Source organism: Homo sapiens, chromosome 10 (genome assembly GCF_000001405.40).
Source record: "Homo sapiens chromosome 10, GRCh38.p14 Primary Assembly".
In the NCBI taxonomy this organism is placed as follows: domain Eukaryota; kingdom Metazoa; phylum Chordata; class Mammalia; order Primates; family Hominidae; genus Homo; species Homo sapiens.
The window spans coordinates 2,615,706-2,638,683 of NC_000010.11; the positions used below are offsets into that span (position 1 = coordinate 2,615,706).

The following is a 22,978-nucleotide window of genomic DNA, read 5'->3' on the forward strand; positions in this document are numbered from 1 at the left end:
TCTCGAAAAGGGAAAATAATACCAAGATATTTATAGGTATTTAAGGCCTAGGCTGGATGATTTAAAAGTAGATTATCCAAGGTCAAGAACTGGTTCAGGTTTCAGAGAGTTTATGACAATAACTCTGGGTTGGTGAGCAGAACAAAGCAGGGACTGTGGGTGAGTGGTGATGAGGAAGATGTCAGTTCTGGTAACTAAGGTGCTGATGCTATTTTAGTTGCTTCTCAGCCTTGTCTTCTAGAAGTAGTACTTCCTGGAAGCCATAACCCAGGTATATTTGCCTCATCACCGAAGTGTTTAGCCCAAAGTCCGGGAGAATCCTTCATCCCAGAGTTGTTTATTACAAGAGCATGAATGTATGGTTAGACTGGAACTGCTTAACACAAGGACTGTAAGTTATATTGGTTTAGGTTCTCTAAGTTAGGTCCCACTGTTAGAGACAGATATTGGCAGCTGTTCTTGATCTACAATGTAGTCCAGAGAGGCCACTGCAGTAAATCCCAGGTAGGAGACAGAAATATAGAGGGAGATAGAAAGAAAGATCAAGACAGAGGTATGGCAATTGACACCATCACAATGCAGCTAGTGCTAATAAAAATTCATAAAACAAGTAGTCATTAAACGACCAAGCACATGCTTTGGAAGCTGCCTAGTCAAGTGAATAATACATCTGCAGTCCACATGTGAGGAACCGCAAGTGAGCATCCCTCTAGGGCCACCTGGAGGCCACCACTGCTGGTGGGGCAGGGGTGGCTATGGGACACCTGGACAGCCCTGTTCTTCATGCAACAAGGTGGACTGCAGGTCTTGTACAGAAAGCATCTGCAGAGATCACCCAGACATTCCACCGAGCTATGGCAATCTCAAGCCTAAGTGTGTGCAGAGCCCAGACCTCCCCATGATCCATTCTCAAAGAAGCTGTGTGAGCCCAGAGCCCACAAAGGTAAGATCCATAAGGAGAAAGATCAGCATAATCAGACAGAGGATTGCAAAACAAGTCTGAAATTTCTGGAGTTCCATTTTATGCCAGAAAATAGAACTGTGCCAGAGTTAATGGGATCTCTCTTTCACAAATCAAATATTTTCTCAAAAATTGGTATTCAAAATTTCTTGCAAAAAACTCTAATAATAAAAGTATAAAAGGCAAACTATAAATAATGAATGACATTCCTTAGTAAAACATATATATATATATATACACACACACATACATGAATATATATGTGAACAAAGAGAAAGAGACAAATTTAGGGGGATTCATTAATATAGAATCAATCTGTCATCTTTTGGGATCTGATGGCAAAAATAAATGGGTTGCAATGCAGAAAATATTAAAATAAGAGTCAAAGTACTGAGTGAAAGTAACATACTCCTGGCAGTTTTCATGTAACTTTACATAAGCAACTTCATCTCTATCCCTTAATTCTTCACCTAGATATGGGAGTGTGGGATTCACACTCAATTTATGAGTGTGAATATAAATTATAATTATAAATTCCATTCACTCAATTTATGGCTAGACCCAAAATATTAATAAATGTAAGAGTTCTATCCATAACCAAAAGAACAATGATGCCAGTTAAACAAATGAGAAACACAAAATACATTGTTTGGGGGGAAAATAAAAGAGGTAAAAGCCATGATGATCACATGTTTGGTTCACAGAGCTCAAAAGATATATAGCTTGTGATGGACGTTTGGGTAGGTAGAAGTTCTAGTGCTAAGGAGATGTCATTTCTTGAAATATAGTTATGCCTAGAAACAATGTTAGAGGTTCTGAGAGTATAGAGGTATTATAAGGAAAGAAGTATGAATCAGTGATTGATTGAATAATCCTGGCCAGTCTGCTCACTCTAACCAAGCAGATACAAGTATGCCCTCCAAGCAGAGATGAAAATAGGTTTTTTAATAATTTTGTCTAAGTGATTCTAACATGTTTTTTTCATTGCCCCCTTCACCTCATTGCAAATTGCTAGTAAGAAGAAGAAAGAAAGTAAGGAAGAAACACCATACCTTGTTGAGAGCTGTAAATGGTATGATATTTTACTCCATGTGGAGCTAACAAACTAGCCTGTCACAACTTCAAGGATGCTGTCGGAAGACACAAGATTCCTGGGTCAGAGCCAAAGGACCGTATCAACGATGGCAGTGCCTGGGCATCCCACATGTGTGTTTATTCTCCTTGCCCAGAAAAATGGTGTGGAACGCCCTCGATGAAACGTGTACACAGTGGGTTGCATGACAGGAGAAAATCTCAGAGACTTAGGAACCCAAATATGTTATTGTGAGCAGTGAGCATTGCTGCCCTTGGCTCCCCGGGAAGACAACATCTGTATCTTCCAACAGTGTTAACTGCACAGACATCCTTGAAAAGATAGTCCAGAACAAAGGGTGGTTAGTGCCTTGCTGGCAAAATGTGATAAAAATATGACACTCTTTGAAATTATCGTCCAATGTGTCTTTCCCATATGAAATAGACAACACTTTAAACACAACTTTAATTAAATTTTTATACATTCCAATTTGGGAAGCAGTGATAATTTAAATTATGACAAAATTCACTGGATGGCAGTGTCAGGGAGAGAATGGGGAGGCCATGCTGAGAAAATGTTTATACGTGCAAAGGAAGAGAATTGCGTAGGACCTCATAAACAGCTTTTGACTTTGCCAGTGACAAACTCAAGTGTGCTACGGAAGAGTCAGCTCCTGCAACCTGGAGCGGAGGCAAGGGGTCCGTCCTCAGTAAGTGTGGTGGGTCAAATGGTGCCCCCAAAAACCTCAGAATGTGACTGTGCTTGAAATAAGAGTCTTTGCAGAGACAAAGAAGGAGACACAGAGAGACAAAGAGACGAAGAGAGGAGGGTGATGTGAAGATGGACGCAGAGATCAAATCCATGAAGCTAAGGAATTCCAGGAAGCGGAGAGAGCTGGGACAGAGATATGGAACAGACCCTCTCTCTGAGCTTCCAGAAGGTGTGATTTTGGACTTCTCATCCGCAGCTCTGGGAGAGAATAAATTTCTGTTGTTTTAAGCCACCTAAGCCACCCAGGTAGTGGTAATTTGCTATTGGTTGAGTGCATGTGTGTGTGTGTGTGTGTGTGGTGTATGTGTGTGTGTGGTGTATGTGTGTGTGCACGCTTGGGAATGGTGGCATAATTGTGGAGCATGTGGACTGAACTACTGAACTGTGATGGGATTGCAGCTACAGGACAAGGAGGTGCAATCACATATCGTTGTCCTGACTAATGGAGGCGACGGCTGGGTGTTCCACCTGCCCCTTCTTACAATAACTGTTTGGTGTCACTCTGTTTCAGGGTAATACTGTCTATAGCAGCTATTCATTCTAAGAGCTGAGTGGTGCCAAAAGTAATTAGCAATGCATTTGTCAAAAACAGTGTCTCAATTCAGGTGCTAGAATTTGGCAGAGGCTCTAGGATGATGTTTTATAACAATGTTTGTCATGAGTCAGGAAACACATCGACAATGTTTCCGTTTAAAATTGTTTTTAGTTTTTTAAAAAACTGTCTTTTTAAGAAATATAGTAAAGGATAATCTTATAATTTTTCTCTTCAATGTTGTATAAGCCCCCTGATGAAATAAGCAGAGATTATAGTCCAGAATGATATTTAATTAATGTGTCCCGATACAATATTTTATAATCAAACGGGGAAGAGACATTCTATTTAAACTTTAATTGTTACCAATCATCACGGGGTATGCTAAATAATATTTTCTGGTTATTTCAGTTTTCATTGGAATTTCAATTTCCACGGGCATAAAATGGAAGTTTTGGGTGACTGCTAAGATCATAGGATCATGGTCCCCGAAAGCACCAATGAGCAGCCACTCTTCAGAGGAGTGTGGGGAAAGCTCCTCAGTGAATCCAGTAATTACAAATTTGAGGTCTGCACCGGTAACTACAGTCACTCCCTCCCCTTATCCACAGGAATATGTTCCAGGACCACTAGGGGACGCCTGAAACCCCAGATTGCCATCAATTGAAATACATTGCTGTTCATGTCTTCCACCCACAAATGTAATGCCCTTTCTATATTAACTAAGCATTTATCACACACTGTGCCTGTACATTGTGCATTTTGAGGTGTAACAACAAAACTGGCTTGAATTTCTTTTTCCTTCTACACAATTTCATGGACAGAAGATTCGTTCTTACAGGAAATCCTAGCAACCTCAGTATATACATATATATATCTTTTCTTTCCTCAAGTTAAGAACTTCTGCATTTTCACTTAAAGGAAGCATTTAATAACTCCTCTTTGGCATCTCCAAATTGTCAGCCTCACTACTCTTGCACATGGGGCCACTATTAAGTAAAAGAAGGGTCACTTGAACACCAGCTGCGATATCAGCACAGTCAATCTAATCATCATGGCAGCTGCTAAGTGATTAATGGGCGGGGAGTGTCTGCAGTATGATATGCTGCAAAAAGCAATGATTCACGTTCTGGGTGGGACAGAGCAGGATGGGAGCAGATTATATCACACTACTCAGAATGGAGCTCAATTTAAAACTTATGCATTGCTTGTTTCTGAAATTTTTCGTTTAATATTCTTGGATTCCAGTTGATTGCAGGCAACTAAAACCACAGAAAGCAAAACCGTGGATATGTAGGACAGCTCTCTTCTAAGGCCCACCATTGGCTCAGCATTAAAGAGCAGTAGGGGAGCCATGGTCTCAGCAGTGGCTGGACCGTTGTCCCTGAGACCTGTTCTCAACAATACTTCCTTGTTATTTCCAGAAGCTTAATGTACCCAAATTGCTTACCACTGTTTGGAAGTTAATTTGCAAATATCTTTCAAAATCTAAAACACATTTTCTTTGACACGTCAATTCCATTGCTAATAATTTAACTTTATCGATATGTTTAAGAAAGACCAGGGCCGGGGTGTGGTAGCTCATGCCTGTAATCCCAGCATTTTGGGAAGTCGAGGCAGGTGGATCACCTGAGGTCAGGAGTTTGAGGCCAGCCTGGCCAACATGGTGAAACCCCATCTCTACTAAAAATACAAAAATTAGCTGGGCATGGAGGCTCATGCCTATAATCCGAGCTACTCAGGAGGCTGAGGCAGGAGAATCCCTTGAACCCGAGAAGTGGAGGTTGCAGTGAGCTGAGAGGTTGCAGTGAGCGCCACTGCACTCCAGCTTGGGTGACAGAGTGAGACTCTGTCAAAAAAAAAAAAAAAGAAGGAAGGAAGGAAGGAAGGAAGGCCAAAACAACAACAACAACAAAAGCTCCTTAAATATCAACCCCTGACCACCCCTTCCTCTTGAACTAAAAGTGAATAATGAAATCCTGCTGTGTTCCTTTGGTATTCGGCAGGCCACACAAAGGGCTGGGGGGCCTCTGCAGAGCTGGCTGGTATCTGCACATTCTGTTAAACCTCATTCTCTGATTGAAACTCTATTTACTTTTAGGTTTGTAAAATAATTTCAGGGTAAGCCCATCTTGTGGTGTCTGGAACTAATTTATGTATTCCCTCATTTGACAGCCATGTAATACTCTTCTGTCCTGAGTCAAAAGGGTCACAATTGTATATATTTTTGGGTACTCAACTTCTACCCTGAGGAAAACAAAAAGTGTGGAGGCATTGCGAAATAAACCACCCCTGTGTACTAGGATGTGTTTCACCAGCCACTCAGTAGCTGCGGGCCCAAGACAGTCAGGGTGATGAATAAAACTTCATCCTCAGGCACTGAGTGGATTACACCACAGAGAGATCTAGGAATTAATTAACGGCACTGTCAGGAAGGACCAGTCTTTGTCTCTTGGTATCCTAAAATGTTCCTTTATTAATATCCAAGCAATCATAGTATGGTTGAATTCCAAGAAGAAATTCCAAGTTTCACAGGCACTAGCAAAATAAAGGTTCAAAATTGCACACACACGCACAAACACCCCCACACACTCATCATACAGTCACACACACACAAATGCACATAGATACACATACACCCCCAAACACACACACTCACACGTACTCAGAGAGAGAGAGGAGAGAAAATCCCAGAATTTTGGGTAACAGAAAAAACCTTCTAAAATACCTACATAAATAGGCAATTAATATAAAACCCATTAAAATATATTATGATTAAAACTGATTAAAATAAATATGTATTTCATAAATTATGAAATTATGAATTTCAATACAATGAAATGCAATCAACCTTCAAACAGGATGAGATGGTTCTCTAGGTACTGATAGGAAATGTTCTAATGTTTCGTTAGAATATGTACAAAGGTACATATGCCATTTGATTCTATTTGTGTTAAAACGAAAGCTATCCTGTTGACTCGTACTCAAAAATCCTTTCAGAAGGAACACTAAGAATCAAGTCAATTGCTACTTAGAGGAGAGTGAATGGAGTAAGGAATTTATGGCAAATTACATTTTACTTTTCAGTGTAAGCCTTTATTTTTTTACTTTGTGCATAGACTAAAATTATGTGTGTGTGTGTGTGTGTGTGTGTGTGTATATATTTACACATTTCCATGCAGAGAAGAAACTGCTCCTGCACTTCACACCCCCACTTTGAGATCCGTCCTGTCTAATGCCTTCCCTGTGAGTAACAACCATTTCCTTTCTTAAGGCAGTAAATAACCATATCACTCCAAAATTGTTTAATAGTGGGCTGTCTCATATTGGAAGCTGTTTGGGAGTCTGTGGTGCTTCCCAGGACTGTCATCATGCCCAAAGCGTGAACCACGCAATCTACTTCTCATTTTCACTTTACAAGCCTTCTTAGAAAGTTTAGCGCATAGTGGGTAGAAATCAGTATGTTTATTCATATGCAGTCAGAATATCTTTCGGATGAAAAATAGCAAAGGTTTCAGATGACTTTCACATCCATGGTTGTCACGTTTGTGGACCTTAAATGTCGACTCTGAAGACAGAGGGGACACACAGAGACCACCTGGAGATTTTGCCTCTTGCTCCCTAGGCTTCGAGGGGCTTTTAAACTAGTTTGGTTTGGTTTAATTCACTGAGGCTGGTTCATTATTTCATTCTTTGTATAAACGTGCTGTGAGTGGTCACTGTGCCCTGGTTTGTTCCAGGTACGGGGCATGCAAAGATGAACCAGGCTGGCTGTGAGGGTGTGCCCATGATGGCACCTGCTTCACAGCCTGTGGTCAGTGGTCCAGCCAAGTCTCATCACAGTGCATGTTTCCCAGACCAATCCTGGTAACTCCTGGGTTAGCTCAGGTCCTTTAAGAAACAGGAGTGAAACCAACGTGTAAGAAGTCTATTGGGGAATATGCCTGTAAGGGATGAACTAGGGTAACATGGGCTGTCAGGGAGCACCTTCCACCATGGGTCAAGCCTCACCACCTGAAAAGGGAGGGGCAGGAAGAAGTGGTGCAAGGTAGGAAGAGACTCAAAGACACACTCTAAGACTCCTCTGAGAGGAGGCCTTCAGCTAAATCATCCAAGAGGGATCTGGTGACTGCGGGAATGGGAGGCACAAGCACCCCATGGTGCTGAGTCATGGACTGGGGGCTGTCTGATGGAAACGGAGCCCTGATGTGAATACAGAGATAAGTCCAGAAAGGTAGAGACTGAAGTTGTCAGATAACACTCTCCCCACACCTGGGCTGTCAGGTAAACCCCTCCCCAGAGCTGGACTGTCAGGCAGCCCCTCCCTGCAGCTGGGTTCTACAAAGGATACCTGAGCCAGGCCCCCCACAGCAACCACACTAACCAAGTTCCAGCCCTGTTGTCATTTATTGTGGAAAAGACATTTTGAGGTAATTGTATGCATATGTAGAGTAAGGACAAGAAGTCATAAATGTCACTAGGGTAAATAAAGCAAGATACAAAGGGGAACCTTTGGGGTGCTGATATTTGGGACGAGAAGAGCCAGGCAGGCATCAGAAGGCAAGTGCAGGTGTCCAGGAAAAGGGTCGAGTGACCCAGAAAAGGATGGGGATCAGGAGAATGACTGGGACTGAGATTCTGGGGTGAAGGGAGAGCCAGCAGGGGTTGGATGCAGACAAGGACAGACCCCATGGGACATGTCCCTGGACATGACAGGGAGAGGGAAGCAGGGACTCCACAGCATCTGGGCTGGGCACCTGGGCGGTGGCCGCCCCATCCACTGCTGCCACGTTGACCACCTGCGGTGGGGAAGCCCAGTGGGTTCTGGACTGGGTGGGGATGAAGGTTCTCTCTGGGGCTTGTTACACTTGGGAACCAGCCGACGGGGGCCCCACAGGGCCAGCATGGTTGCTGGGGAATGGGAGGGAAACAGCTGTCTGGGGTCAGTGGCTACCTGCTGTCTTGAGAGCTCCACATAAGCATTGCTGACTTGGCTCCTGTGGGCACCGGGGCAGGGCTCTGTCTGCAGAGATGAGGGCAATCGTGTTTCCCCAGGCCCAGACCGGGTGGGGGCCAAGCTCCTCAGCCCTGCTGGGCTGCCCATCGGCCAAGCAGCATCCTCTCTCTCCCTGCGGGTCTCTCGCCTCAGGGTATCTCCCCATTTTCTTTCTATTTTCTTTAATTTTGGGGTTTCATCTTTTCCCTTCAACATTTCTCCATAGCTGTTTTTCTGTGACAGGGGTTGAGTCACCAATAATGATAGTTCTGCTCCTGTAAGAACCTTAGAGTTCTCTGAACATGGTTATTTTATCACAAGGCTTACACCCTTTCAGTTCTACCGTATGTATTGGAGAGGGAGATCGCCAAATTTGGACCTGCAGGGCGCACAGGAGGGTACCGTGTGTGTTCATTTCACAAAGGCGGGGTCTCAGTCCCTGGAGCTGCACGCGGTCAAGGCCCAGGCCCTGCCTTCCAGGGTCCCCTCCGAACTCCAGGCTGGTGCAGTGGCCGCTGCTCGAGCCGCTTTGCAGACTTCCTTTATGCCCTCCAACAGGAACAAAGCAAAAAAGTTAACTCACTTCTGCTCATAAAAGTCGCCAAATAAATGAAAATTCGATAATTTACTGCAGTGCATTCTAGACAGAAAATGGAGAATTTGAGCACGTTTTCCTGGCTCCTTTCCCTGGTCCCACCTGTATCTCTATTACAGGGACAAATGGGGCTAATCTCACTGATGCGATTCAGCACATGAACATGTGTCTGCCGAAGCAAGAACAATTTAGTCGTTGACCTGAAGCCCTGGCTGCAATGAACAAGCTTCGTTTTCCTAAGCAGAAGGTAGCGTAAGAGGCAGAGGCATTGAGACCAGCTGCACAAGAGGAGAAATCCGGCGTACGTGGAGGTGGAGGGAATTTAGCTTCTTTGAGAAACCTGGTGAGGAATAAAATGTACTTGTTTTCGTCCGAGTTAGACTTGCTGGACGGGCACATGATTATGGACACCACCCCCATTTCAGTAACGCTGTTCTGTGTCTAGCTATTAGGACTATGTGCCTAATAAATGGATAAATCACACCGTTTCCTCCTTTTAAAACAGGGAATAAAGATAGTTTGAGAGTGCAGGTCGAGACAGAGCAATGAAATGTCCAGGATGAGGCATTTTGTTTAAGAGACACGCGTGAAGCTCAGCGCTTGACGAGACAGGAAGGCAGAGCTTCACGTGCGATGGACCCTGATTGACAAGGCTTTTAAAGCATGGCTTCGCTGTGACTGACAATCATGCTGGGGAAGAGATGAACAGGTAATTGCAGTTCTGTTCTATCTTTGCATAAATACTAATGCCCTAAATAGTCCTGCCAGCTTGGAAAGAGATAGTCTGAATAAAGGCTGCCAACCAGAAACTCCACCCCGGTAGAGAGAAGGTCAGACCCCAAACTGCTATGAAGCAACAGACGCTTTCAAATTCCTTAACTACCAGTGGGATGCACATTGCATTTGGAGGCAGAAGGCCAGAGAGAATCCCAGACTCATCACTTATTTGTGCATTTCCCAAGGGGGGTAATTTCGACTTTGACTTTCAGTCTTTTCTCAGTTAAAATAGGATTGAAAACACGGAGGCTTCCTAATGCACGCAGGTTCTATAAGAAGCATGGAAAACCATGCACAGAGAAAGACTTGGACCATTGTGATGGCTGCGCTCCAGATTCCATGAATGCATTTACCACATTGTATTAAAAATTGTACATTTATTAAACTAGCTAGTTGGATGGTGATTTTCTTAAGTAAAACTTTAGCTAAGTCACTGTTGTATCCTATGGATTTAGTATAGTGCTGATAAAAGCAGGAGAGTAACAAAATATATAAATGGAATAAACTTCAATCCTTATTCTAAATGCAGTTTTGAAATCTAAGAAAGTTTCCAAAACTATAAATAGAAAATTTCTATTCACTCTTCTGTTCATTCATGGAATGTCCAACAGCAAATGGGTAAGTCCTGGGTGGAATTCTCTTTTCGACAGTGTGACAGTTCCTCTCGGTAAGAAGCACAGGAATGGTAAAGAGGGTAAAAATGACAATCCCCTTCGCAACAAAGATTACAATAACTAAAAAGTGCATGCTCCTAGGAAACGTCATTGAGGTCACCTTCATGCCAACTGCTACATTTCCTGCTCCTTCTGCAGGTTCCGCTGCGACTTCCACGGGGCCAACCCTCCTGGAAGCAGGTTCCACTGAGCTATCCATGGGGCCAACCCTGCTGGAAGCAGGTTCCACTGTGACTTCCACGGAGCCATCCCTGCTGGAAGGATTTGGGCCAGGAAGTTTTGATCTTCAGTGTCTCCACTCCTTACCATTTCTATTCTTGGAAAGTTTATTAAAATAGACCATAAAATTATCTTGGAAGATGAAAAAATAAGGTTCCCAAAGTGCTGTGCACACCTGAAATGTGAACGTTTGGGAGGGTTGTTGCCGGTGAGAGACCCACATTTGTTTCCCCTCTGGGGTGGCTGCTGCTGTGTGCTGTTGGCCAGAGAGGATTTCCCAAGACTCCCCAGGACCTAGCATGTGCAGCCCTGTTGCTCTCTTCTCCCACCTCCTACCAAGAGTCCAATGAATTGTTGTTTAAAACAAAAAGTTCTGAGTTTTATCCCCCATCGACACAATTAAATCCACAAATTGGCCTTTAGAAAACCGTCCCAGGTAATTTTTAGGCCTATGCAAATGTGAGAGCCTAATAATGAATTCCAATCATCATTTTTGACCATCGTTATTTTTCTCAGCAACTGCTTCCTGCAGGTGACCTATACACTGTCTGCCACCTGCTGACTTCAGCCCAGCACCTAGGATCCCAGCCTCCCTGCCCGAGTCCCACCATCCTGCCAAGAAGCCTGTGGATAAACAGCATCAAAACCAGAGCCTCAAATGCATGACTGGGCAAACGCATGAGTGTGGAAAAGTCCCAGTAAGGAAGTGGCCAGTTGGAGGTAGGATGCCTAGAAAAAATTCTTGGAATTTGTGAGCCAAGGCCTCAGTTTCCTCCTGTGAGCACAGCAGGATTGAGTAATTTGCAAGTTACTATTCTGGTCAAAGACACTTGCCTAGATTGCAAGTTGGCTTCTGGAGGAGTGTGCACATACTCAGCGAGCAAGCAGCCACCAAGGCCCCAGCCTCAACCATGTGAGCATGCCACATGGGGTTGAACCAGTCAGTGGGTTTCAAGAGAGTATTTCTCACATCATCTTCATGCATTATCAGAGTACATGTGTAAACACCAGAATCAGTGTCTAGTTAAAAATAAAAACACCGTTTTCCTTACCCTCCTCAGCTTCCTATGAAATCAACACTTCATGCGTATTTTTCCTTAGAGAACTTGTATTAAAATACAAAAATATGAAGTGAATATCTGTTAGAAAAAATAAGTAAAACTAGTCCCTTGTATCATTGGAATTTTGTTGTTAAATCTCAAATGCATAGTGTGGCATGCTTGCACTCTCTTTTTCTCTCTTCCTTTCTCCATCTTCCTTGTCTAAATATGAGACCCCTTTTGCCTGAAACATTTTTAGTCTAAAAATAGAACTACCAGAGGGTGTTTTTTTTTTGAGTTTGTTTTTAATGGATCAATTTATCTTGAGAAGGGGAAAAACAAAACTTAAATGCTCTTAAAACCTATACAGGTTTTCAGAACGAGATGCTTTCCTGTGGTGAATATTAAACGATAAGTGTTGAGTTTGACAGAAGAATAGTTTAAATTAGCTCTAAAAATATACTTCCTGATTTTAGGAATTTGGAGAATATTACTAAGATATTCAGTCAATGATTGATTATTTTTAAGCAGATGAACCGTTTTTCGCACTTATAGTCACAAAAACTGTGCAATCAAATGCACTTATTAAAAATACTAATGACTAGTAAAGATGACTACATATTAGAAATCATTTACTAGCTGGAGTTTTACAAAAATTAATAGATACTATTCTCCCATTTGAAATGACTCTCTTGATTGTTATGTGCATACCTATCTACTGGCAGCTAACTAGCTACATGCCTATTAGCAGCTAACTAGCTGCATAACTGTCTAACTAGCAGCTAACAAGCTGCATACCTTTCTACTAGCAGCTAACTAGCTGCATACCTATCTACTTGCAGCAAACTAGCTGCATACCTCTCTATTAGGTGCTAACTAGATGCATGCCTGTCTACTAGCAGCTAACTAGCTGTCCATTTACTGTGAAGGGGAGAAGGATCTGATCTTAGTGGGCACTCCTATTTCCTGGTAAACACATTATTTTTCCAAAAGCAAATAGAAAACTAGAGAGGTTTTTCGCTCTTTCTACTCTTGCCTTTTAAAAACTAACAACATGAGAAAAGCAGGGAACCAGAAATAGAAGAAATTTTGAATTAAAACATGGGCCTTGACTTTGAAGACTTGCGTGTCTGAAACTATGAGAGCTTAAAGTCAAATATTTAAAAGACTCTAATTAAGTACTAGATAGATTCGGCATTCCGCTTCTACTGTATCTGAGCTTCGTGTAACAAACATCAAGGGAGTGGAAGACCTAAACGGAAACCTCCGATTTCTCCCTGACGAGCTTAATGGTTCATTCAGTTGAACCTGGGCTGATGCGCTGAGAAAGAGCAGCATGAACTGGGGTGGCTGAGAGCGGACAGCAGGGGTCCCTGTTTGGACTCCCACTTCAAGTGGACTCCATCACAACCAAGGTCCTGAGAACTGGAGAAGACGAGGGTGCCAAGGTTTATTTTCTCCGATGCCACTTGCAGACACTATTAATCTCACATAGCAGTTTCCTCCAAAGCAAAGAAGTGATCTCAGAGGCCTCTCCACCAATGTCCAGGCAGCCAGCACCCATCAATCAGAGGTGCTGTGCAGAAAGATAGTTGCTGCCGTCAACAGAGAATTTCCACCAGACAACTTGGAAACGAGAGCTAGCAACCGGCAGAGTTGACGGCTATTCCATGGGCTTCACTGTAGTACTCAAAAAATGAAGATCTCAGCTCAAAAAAAATTTGTTTAGCTCAGCAATCATAAGCTATTTTAAAATATAACTTATTTTTTCTACTTTTTTTAGTTTATATGATGTTTTGTGTTATAAAATGTCAAAGTTATAAGTAGGTTCCTAACTATGATATGCATTTTACCTGCTTACATATCCTTTTATTCACTTATTTTAAATGTGTCATTTTGGTTAATGGAACGTTGAATACTGATGCAATTTCCTTAGCTATATATTTAAAGAAATGTAAATGCCAATCTCCCCTAATCTAAGATAGATATGGAGATGTAACACGTGAGGGTAGACCAAGAGATATTTTATCCTTTATATGTGAATTTCCCACCCACGTGAGTCTCTACATAGAGCAAATAAATGATCAGCGCACTGAGAAGTGGAGAAGCTCACCTAAACTTGTTTTCTAAACTTACAGCCTGAGAGACACCTGCGTCTCACAGTAGGATGACATTAAGGGCATGCATCTCTTGAATGCAGCTACTGCTGTTCTCATTGGAGCTGAATTTCACGTGGGACTATCAAGAAGTCCTCACCTTATCATGGAGCACAGAACCATGATGTCCTATTCACAACTTAGGAATACACCATTTCTAATTGCAGGGTAGAATTTTTTTTTTTTTTTTTTTTTTTGAGACAGAATCTCGCTCTGTCGCCCAGGCTGGAGTGCAGTGACGCGATCTCGGCTCACTGCAAGCTCCGCCTCCTGGGTTCACTCCATTCTCCTGCCTCAGCCTCCCTAGTAGCTGGGACTACAGGCGCCCGCCACCACGCCCGGCTAATTTTTTGTATTTTCAGTAGAGATGGGGTTTCACCATGTTAGCCAGGATGGTCTCAATCTCCTGACCTCGTGGCCGCCCGCCCCGGGCTCCAGAGTTGGGTTGTGGCTTTCAGTCTGGGTTTGGATCTTTTGTCCGCTGCATATTGGCAGCCTAACACAGCGCCCTGGCTTTCTCCTCGACGGAGTGGAGACTAATAATACGGACCTGACAATATTTTGTGAAGATGAAAGGTAAGTAAAGAGCTTAGTGTGTCTCCACACACATTCTGAGTGTTCAACACTGTTGATTTTTTGTGGTCCTAGTTACATCTGCTTGACATTAACTACTGCTGTAACTGAAAAGACAGAAAGAGTTCATAGTGAATCTCCATAAAAGAGCATACCATTTTCAGTACTTTCTCTTATACACATCCAAGAGGCTTGTATTATATGTATATATTTCAGAAATATTAAAAAAGTAAACATGACAATCCAAAAATGCAATCAGTAAACTATAGGATTACTATTTCTCATGGCATATATTCCTCATAACACTCCTGTAAACATTGAACTCCATTTTTATAATAAAAGTGTCATTTTTTAATTTATGGACTAACTATAGCTTTGCAGATGTGCATCTGGTATATAAAGTTGCTCCCTAACCTTTTGATTTAATGCTTCATTCAAAATCGACGTACTTCATACAACAGGAAAAGATTTCAGAATTATTAGCAGCTTCTGCTACTTTCTAGAAGAATCTAGCTCTGTGCAGTAGGAACATATCAGGTGATGTGCCCGTGGAGAGCACTGCTGCTATTCTCACTTGCTCTGCGTAATTCCAGCTGTGAGTATAGAGGTAAAGAAACTAAATTGAAACTCTTTAATGGCCAGGCACAACTTGCCCACATGATTTCAATATAATTTATAAAATTTGTTTGACTGTTTTTTCGGTACCAACCAGAAAACGTTATTGTCTGATAAATTCTATATACTGATGGAAAGAAAGAGGATGGAAGCCACATACTTTGCATAAGGGGCCTCAGCACGCTGCATTTCCATGAGTCTCAACTGCTCCTTTATAGAAGGCCCAAGAGATGATCACTCCTCAAGAAAAATTTTCGAAAGTCAAACAAATATAAGAACTTTTTCATTTAAATAAGAAAAATAACCTAATAATGCATTTTATTTTTTGAAAACGATCAAAATATCTTGGACAGATTTCCTGTGTGGTTAACAGAACACTCTCAGATATGCGCAGCTCAGGGATGAGTTAGAAAGGAAGATAGAAAGATATCGTTTCCCATGATAGCGTTTGGTACATATTTTAGCATAATACAAAATTGCTAATGTGAACATGTCAAATATCAATTCACGAATCTCAGATAAATGAATAAAAATGTGAGGTTTTTATTTAAAAAGCTTTAACTCTCTTGAAAAACAAAGATAATGACTTTTTAAATGTCTAATGAACACTGATCTATTATCCCAGGGGTTTACCAGGAAAACAACATTTTGTAAAAGAACACTGTTGTTTTAAATCCACATTACACCTCCTAAATCTCCTTGGATATTTTTTTCTACTGACTATAGTCTCCCATTGATGAGGTTGGGCAATCCATAAACACTCTGAATGAGCCTAAACTACAGGTTGAAAAGTGTCCTTTGTAATTTTTGTGCCTGGTTAGATCACACTCAATTTTTGCTACTTACCACTTGTAAAGGAAATCTATCAAACCCGTTGAAACATTTATAATGACATTTTAACTCCCTTCCATTGAAAATGCATTGAAAAGTATTCCGTAAGTGCAGTATTTAGAAGGAAGCTATTATTTGGAAGAGGAGGCAAATGTCTGAACCTGCTGTTTTAAAATTGCTTTCCAAATTCAAGGAAACGTTTTACAAAAGAGGTTCATAATGGAGTCTGAGCCGGGCCCCGGGGACGTGAATGCCATATTCCCTGTTGCAGCATCTATTGACCCTCAGACGCCTGATAAAACGGAAGACAGATTGCCCTGGTCCTCTGTGTGTTTAAGTATCAAGCTGATCCATAACTTTCACAAGAACCAGAAATCATTTATTGTCAGTGCTGTCCAGAATATATCCTGACAGTTCAGTGGGAGTTTCACTGCCATTTATTTTCAAATCAATACTCAATTACGAAGAGGAAGATTCACTCCCTTGCCCATTTTCAAGATGAAATTATGGACTGGAGCCATAACACTTAGTCAAGGCAAACCACCGTCTATTAACTCAAGATGGTACTGGGAACCAGCCAGATACTTTATTAAAGTTCACTCCTCTCGTTCACTCTTTTTGGCTTTTAATTAATCATTGTGAAAAAGGCCTTTCACATTGTGACTGATGACCAGAGAAAACAATTTTCTCCTAACTGCCTTTTAATTTCAACTCTGGGAGAGCACATTGACCGAATCTCACAACAACCCATCAATGCTAGTTTTTAATGTGTTTTCTCCTTTGTTATTGAGAAGAATGGAGCGCATTGAAGCCCCATGCTCCTCTTCATAAGTCAAGTAATTGATTCAGTAAATGCCGCACATTTGCTACTGGATAAAATGTGCTGTCAATGAAGATACTAGGTACTATATAAATTACTCCATTAAGCAGAAATAAAGCTATTTATGGTTTTTAGAGCAAAATGCAAGTAATACTAAAAAGACAATAGAAGAGTGAGATTACATTCATTTCCCTTTTCTGTATGCCACTCCCTGTCTTGGCTCCATCAGTTATTTGGATAGTAATTAAAATAATAAAAAAATTGAAAGTGGAATGATAACAATAAAAGCTATTCCTCATGGTAGCAAATCTGAACAACCAGATTGCTACTGTGTACTTCAATTTTTAAGCTTTGTACACTAAATAGTTGTCACTGAGTTTTAGATTGGTGGGTAAATACACACCCAGTAAAATCTTTCGAATGCATTTATTTGATAGAAACCTTTGAACATAAGTGCTAGTATGCACTTCAAAAGATATTAAAATCCAAGCAATTAAAACTATCTGCTGTTTCACAGAAGAGCATATTTCTAGCAATCAAAATTGAGTACAACCAATCACGGCATAGCAAAGTCATAAAGTTTTATGGAGATGACAGCATTTGGGTGAAATCGCAAATACAGCAAAAGAATACACTTAGCAATTCTTTCAAGAGAACAGGTTTCATGTTTGATTGTCTCTGACACTGCCTGTTTGAATCAGAGCTATTTTCCAAGACATTCTCCCGGCTTTGTGAAATTGTTACTTGCACCAGATCAAAATTGTTCAAAGTCACTGATTTCCTTCCAGGAAAATTATTAGGTATGATTGGAAGGGATTTACTTATTTGAAATCCATACCTTCCCTGCCTTCAAAAAATCCTCCACTCTGAAATATAGTCTTGCATTTAAAAAACCTGAAATTAAAAGTTAAGGAAAATCAGAAATAAGAGAAGGAAGTAAAAATTAACTGCACCTGGAATTTGTAATAAAATTGTTTCTGCACAATATTCAATTGGCATCACGTTCTTAGCAATCAAGAGAAAAGGGAAATATAAATTGCTATATAGTTTTTTACTTAAAAAATACAAGTTCTTGTGAAGGAAATTTTCATCCGCAGTCTGCTATTTTAATATTATTTTCCCCTATGCAAAAAAAAATGCTTAATAAACCTTAGATGTTTCATAAATCGCTGGATACATAGATGCAATTAAAATGAGTAAATATATAGGAGAAAAGGGAGAACAATAAATAAAATGACACTTTAGTAGAAGACATCCTTCAATGGCTGGATCCTACATTCACGAGTTGTCTTTAGGGGTGTAATATAGCGTAGTGCAGTCATATGGCTCTGTAGAAGTCCTTACTCTGGGAAATAACCATGAGCACCTCAATGGTGGAAGGGTCCCTCCAGCTTTCTTTAGCAGCAATCTTGTTAACCACATGCTTGCTCTGACAACCTTATCACTTGCCAAGTGCAAGCAGCAGTGTTTGCACTCTTACTATCTCTTACCCACTCTTACTATCAACCACCCACTATGCACTGCGTCTGTTTCTGAGTCTCTGTTTCTGAGCTCAGCGCTGCTTAATGCTAGATAATTCGTGTTTCCCATGTTACCCTTGACTCCAGATGAAACAAAGTCACACAAACAATACTCAGCAGTATTCCTCGGGTTCTCATTCCCAGCCGCAGGTCCATTTCCAGTCAGCTCCCTCTCATTTAGTGTGGAGTCGCTGGGTGGTGTTTTGCACGCACACACACACACACACACACAATTCCAGAAGGTCCTCAAGTTGGCTCGACGGAGCCGCGCTCTGACTGCCGTGGCTCCACTTCTCAAAGCCGCATGAAGGCAGAGACAGCAACAGCATCCACACGCTGCGCATAAGCTCTTAGCAACCAGTAAAGCCACCGAGGTTGACAAGATGTCATGACACTGTGACCAAAGGGAGCTGAAGCCACCCAACCAAAAATCCTCCTTGATGCCCTGCATGCAAAGCACACCAACTCTACAAGCCCTGAGTCCCAAAGAAATGCTGAGTTTCGATCCCGAAGTCACACAGATTCTTCTTTCCAGTGTCTAAGCTGCTGCCCTTTAGCCTCAGAGAAATTCATGGGATTAACTTGGAAGGTAACGGGAGACGCTGCACTAATAATAACCTTCTCCCCTGCTTATGAGAGTGTTATAGTAGACCCTGGGTATACGCAACTTGTTTGCCTTAGAAGGCACATCCTACAGAAAGGCTGCTGAGAGCCACGGAGTCTCCAGACAGTTCCAAACCCGGAAGTGACTGCCACTTCTATGTGGGCTGGGGCACTTTATTCTCGAATAATGATGTTTCCACATGGCAGATAAAATGGCCCAAACTAGCTACATCATCTGGGCTAAAGTGCTAAAAGTGGAAGAATGGCAGCATTTTTAGCAGTATCTTCTAATATTCACCAGTCTTTTATTTATAAAACATAAAATGGAGGCGTAGGAAGATTAAATAATTTTCATAAGATCACACGATTAATGAAAGGCAGATCCAAGACAGAAATCTCCTTGGTCTCTCCTGATGCTGCCCTGACCTTTTCAAATTACGCTTTTTCATTGAATACACAAATATTACAAGTTGTTCTTCATAATGTCCAAGGACTAGAAAAATGTGCAGATGTATATGAGACATGTATGGTTCAGCTCATTTATATTTTAAACAAAAGTAATATTGTCCCATTTAATAGCAATCCCTATCACAGGTTCCACATTGGATAAATTCTTCATCTGAAAACATCTAAGTAATGAGTGAATTTCAGGCCTCATCTGTCCACTTCTACATCATCTTCCTCAGAGAAATGGTCAATATAAAGAAAACTTTCAGTTTGAGGCCATCTTAGGGTGGTGGAGCTAAACCTAGTCTTGCATGGGTAGAAAATGGTCTCACTAACTAAAAATTATCATACAAGTTGATTATCCTTTAAATCCATACAGAAATGCACACAGAGTTATTATATGATGTTTTGCTCAAGGACATTCACTTGCAAAAAATCACCTCCTACTGGGGTAGAATTCAGGCAAAGAAAAATTTAATTAAGAGACTACCTCTGAGTATCTTTGGAGGGAAAGTATCACAAACTTTCTAGGAATAGGAGCCAGCTACAGAGAAAAAGAAAGGTATATATATATGAATATATATGTAAGTATATGCATATATCTATGCATATTTATATATGTAAGTTCTTCTCATCAGATGAGATGTCATCATAAAAGTTTAATTTTTTAAAAGACAGGTTGATGCTTTCTGATCAGAGAGGTATTGCTATCAAAGTCATAACCAATGATTGAACATCACTGATTGTCTATCTGTAAAAAAGCATTTACGTAGCCTGCATAGTAGGCTCTATGTAGACGCTAGGAATAGCAGAAGAGACTCCAGTAAGGGGGCAGTTGAGGAATAGTGCAAAATACTCCTGAAGGTTCCCCCTCGCTGGCTCTCATGCTCCAACGTGGCTGACTAGGTCCTCCTGCTTGGCACCTGCAGGACTTTGTATGCCCTGGCTCTTCTAGGGCTCAGTTCCTGGGTCCTCCCACTCCCCCAGCCTCAGGGCTTGTGCAGGGCACCATTCTCTCAGCAAGGATGGTCTTCCCTGCAGCTCATTCTCTTGTCTCTCACAAGTTTTTATTTAAAGGTCACCTTTTCACAGAGCCCTCCTCTGACCACTTGTGTAAAATTTCACTTTCACCTGCACCCTCTCTCCACACCTCTAACCAGAATCATGCTTCTCAATGTACACATTATTTTTTGGAAAACTAAATAATTTTCTGTTAAATAACTATCTCTCCCCCTATAACAAGAGATTTTTAAAAGAATTTTTCCTCTTGCTATTTACCTACCACCAAGAATAGGACCTGGCATATAACAGATAATAAATATTTGTTGATTGAATACATAAATATTATTTTAGAGACATATACATACATATTTTGGAGACATATACATATCCCCAGAGATAAACTTTACTAAGCATTGCACAATGTATTGATTTATTTGAGTGTCAATTATGCTAGACAGCATACCAGGTTCTGGGGACATAAAGGTAAACAGAAAGAGAAGATCTCTCCTCTCTCCTTAGGTAGCTTAACCACCTAACATCTGAGACGGATATGTATTATATTTTCATGCAAAAATAAGTAAAATTTCAATTGTTGTGAGTTGGAAGGATGATGATATGGTTTAAATGTCCCCTCCAAAACTCATATTGAAATGTAATTGCCATTGTGATGGTATTGAGAGGTGGGACCTTTAAGAGGTGATTAAGTGAATGTCTAATCTCTGGGATGAATGCGTATTAGGAAAGGGCAGTCCAGACTCCCTTTCCTTATCTAGGTTGCACCCTCACCATGTGATGCCTCCTGCCATGAGAAGATGCGTAAGAAGTCCCTCACCAGGTAGAGTCCCTTGATCTTGGACTTTCTAGCTTCCACAACTGTGAGACAAATAAATCAATTTTCTTTTTTAAATTACCCTGTCTGTGCTACTCTATTACGGCAGCAGAAAACAGACTAAGATAGACACTTCGTGCATTGAGCACACATGGCTGGGTGAAGAGAGAATGATTCATGAGGATGGCCACAGAAGACTTGAACTGTGAGCCAGAAGATGAGTGGGGAAAGAGCCTGGTCTTGAGAGCAAATGTGCTCTGGCAAAAGGAGGTGCTAGGTTGGAGTCAGGGAAGAGACCCGCATTCTGAACGGCTGATAAGGAGGCTGCTTAGGTGAGAATGGAGGTGTGGGTAGCTATGGGACAATCTAAGGCTTTAGGTTCTACTTAGAATTTTGCAACCACCCTGCAGACAAGAAGCCATTAAGGTGTTTTACGGTGGCTCATATCTGTAATTCCAACACTTTGGGAGGCTGAGATAGGAGGATTGCTTGAGCCCAAGCATTTGAGACCAGCCTGGGAAACATGGCAAAACCCCATCTGTACACAAAATACAAAAGTTAGCTTGGTTTGGTGATGAGCACCTGTAGTTCCAGCCACTCAGGAGGCTGATATGGGAGGACAGGCTAAGCCAGGGAGGTTGAGGCTCCAGTGAGCCTATATTACACCACTACACTCAAGCCTGGGCTGCAGAGTAAATCTCTGTCTCGAAAAAAAAAAGTGTTTTAAGGATGGGACACAATAGGCAAAGAGCAGGTTACATGATTGGATTTGCATTTTACAATTATCCTTGTGGATTTCCATGGGGGAATAGGCAGGACAGCCATAGACCGTGTGAAGATCCCAGCCAGGAGGCTCTTACAGCAGCCGCAGGGAGCAACAGTGACGGTGGGAAGATGAGGGAAGTGAAGAGAGTCGAGTGTCTATGTGAGTCAGCTGGAAGGGATCAGTGATTCAGGGAGGAGGAGACACCAAAGATGGTGCATGGTTCTGGGAGTTCACTGAGGTGAGTAACCTGGGTGGAGCTCTCGAATAGAGTGGAACTCTTAGGGTGAGTTCCTTCAGAAGGAGAGGAAAAGGACAGTCAGAGGGGAGGCAGACTGGATAAGATAAGATGAACAATAAGCATGGGCAAGGTGGATGGCTTGTAGATGTGATGCTTTGCATGTCCATTTTATATAAAATAGGAAGTAAGATCATCTGTAAAAAGTGATGCAGGAAAAGGTTTGAAGGGAGTGCAGGTGGTTTGAAATATTGCACCTGTTTATGTGGAGATGGTGAGCAAACAGAGCATAGAGACACACTAGTTGATTCTGCATTTATGAACATGAAAATGAAACCCATTACTTCTGCTATAGGACACTGAAGGCAAATGATTAAGTAGCTGTTATGGACTGAATGTTTGCATCTTCCCAAAATCCATGTTGAAATCCTAACCTCCAACGGAAGGGTACCAGCAGATGCAGTCTTTGGGAGGCAGTTAAATCATGAGGTTGGAGCTCATAAGATGGATTAGTGCACTTCTAAGAAGAGATAAAAAGATGGGCTATTCCTCTTTCTCTCTCCACTGTGTGAGGACACAAGCAAGAAGATGCCTATGCTTCACTCCAGGTATCCAGGTCGAGTGCCCTCCCCAGACGCCAGACCTGCCCGCTCCTTGAACTTGGATTTCTCAGCCTCTAGAACTATGAGAAATAACTGTTTGTTGTGTAAGCCACCCAGTTTATGGTAATTTGTTATAGAAGCTCAGACTAAGGCTGTAGTAAACACCTTTTCTGGTATAATATTATATTAATTTGCTTGAAAAACAGAAAATAGGGCAGGCAGACTAGAGTCCCCAACTGTGAAGTATCCACCTCCAGTGGCTTCTTTGATGAACAGAGCTCATGGTAAGTCCCCTCAAACTGCAGGATCCATGCAGAAGTTGAGCATATTCAAACTGCAAAT

At 41.6% G+C, this 22,978-nt stretch overlaps 1 long non-coding RNA gene across 4 annotated transcripts in view; it reads left to right on the top strand.

Annotated features, from left to right (window-relative positions):
* LOC105376350 (uncharacterized) overlaps positions 1–3,036 on the top strand; it is a 116,889-nt gene extending 113,853 nt beyond the window's left edge. For all 4 annotated transcript variants that reach the window (NR_188171.1, NR_188172.1, NR_188173.1 and 1 more), the window contains one exon: positions 1,977–3,036. This is a non-coding gene — a long non-coding RNA (uncharacterized LOC105376350). The remainder of the gene's footprint in view (positions 1–1,976) is intronic.
* Positions 3,037–22,978: the final 19,942 nt, after the last annotated feature.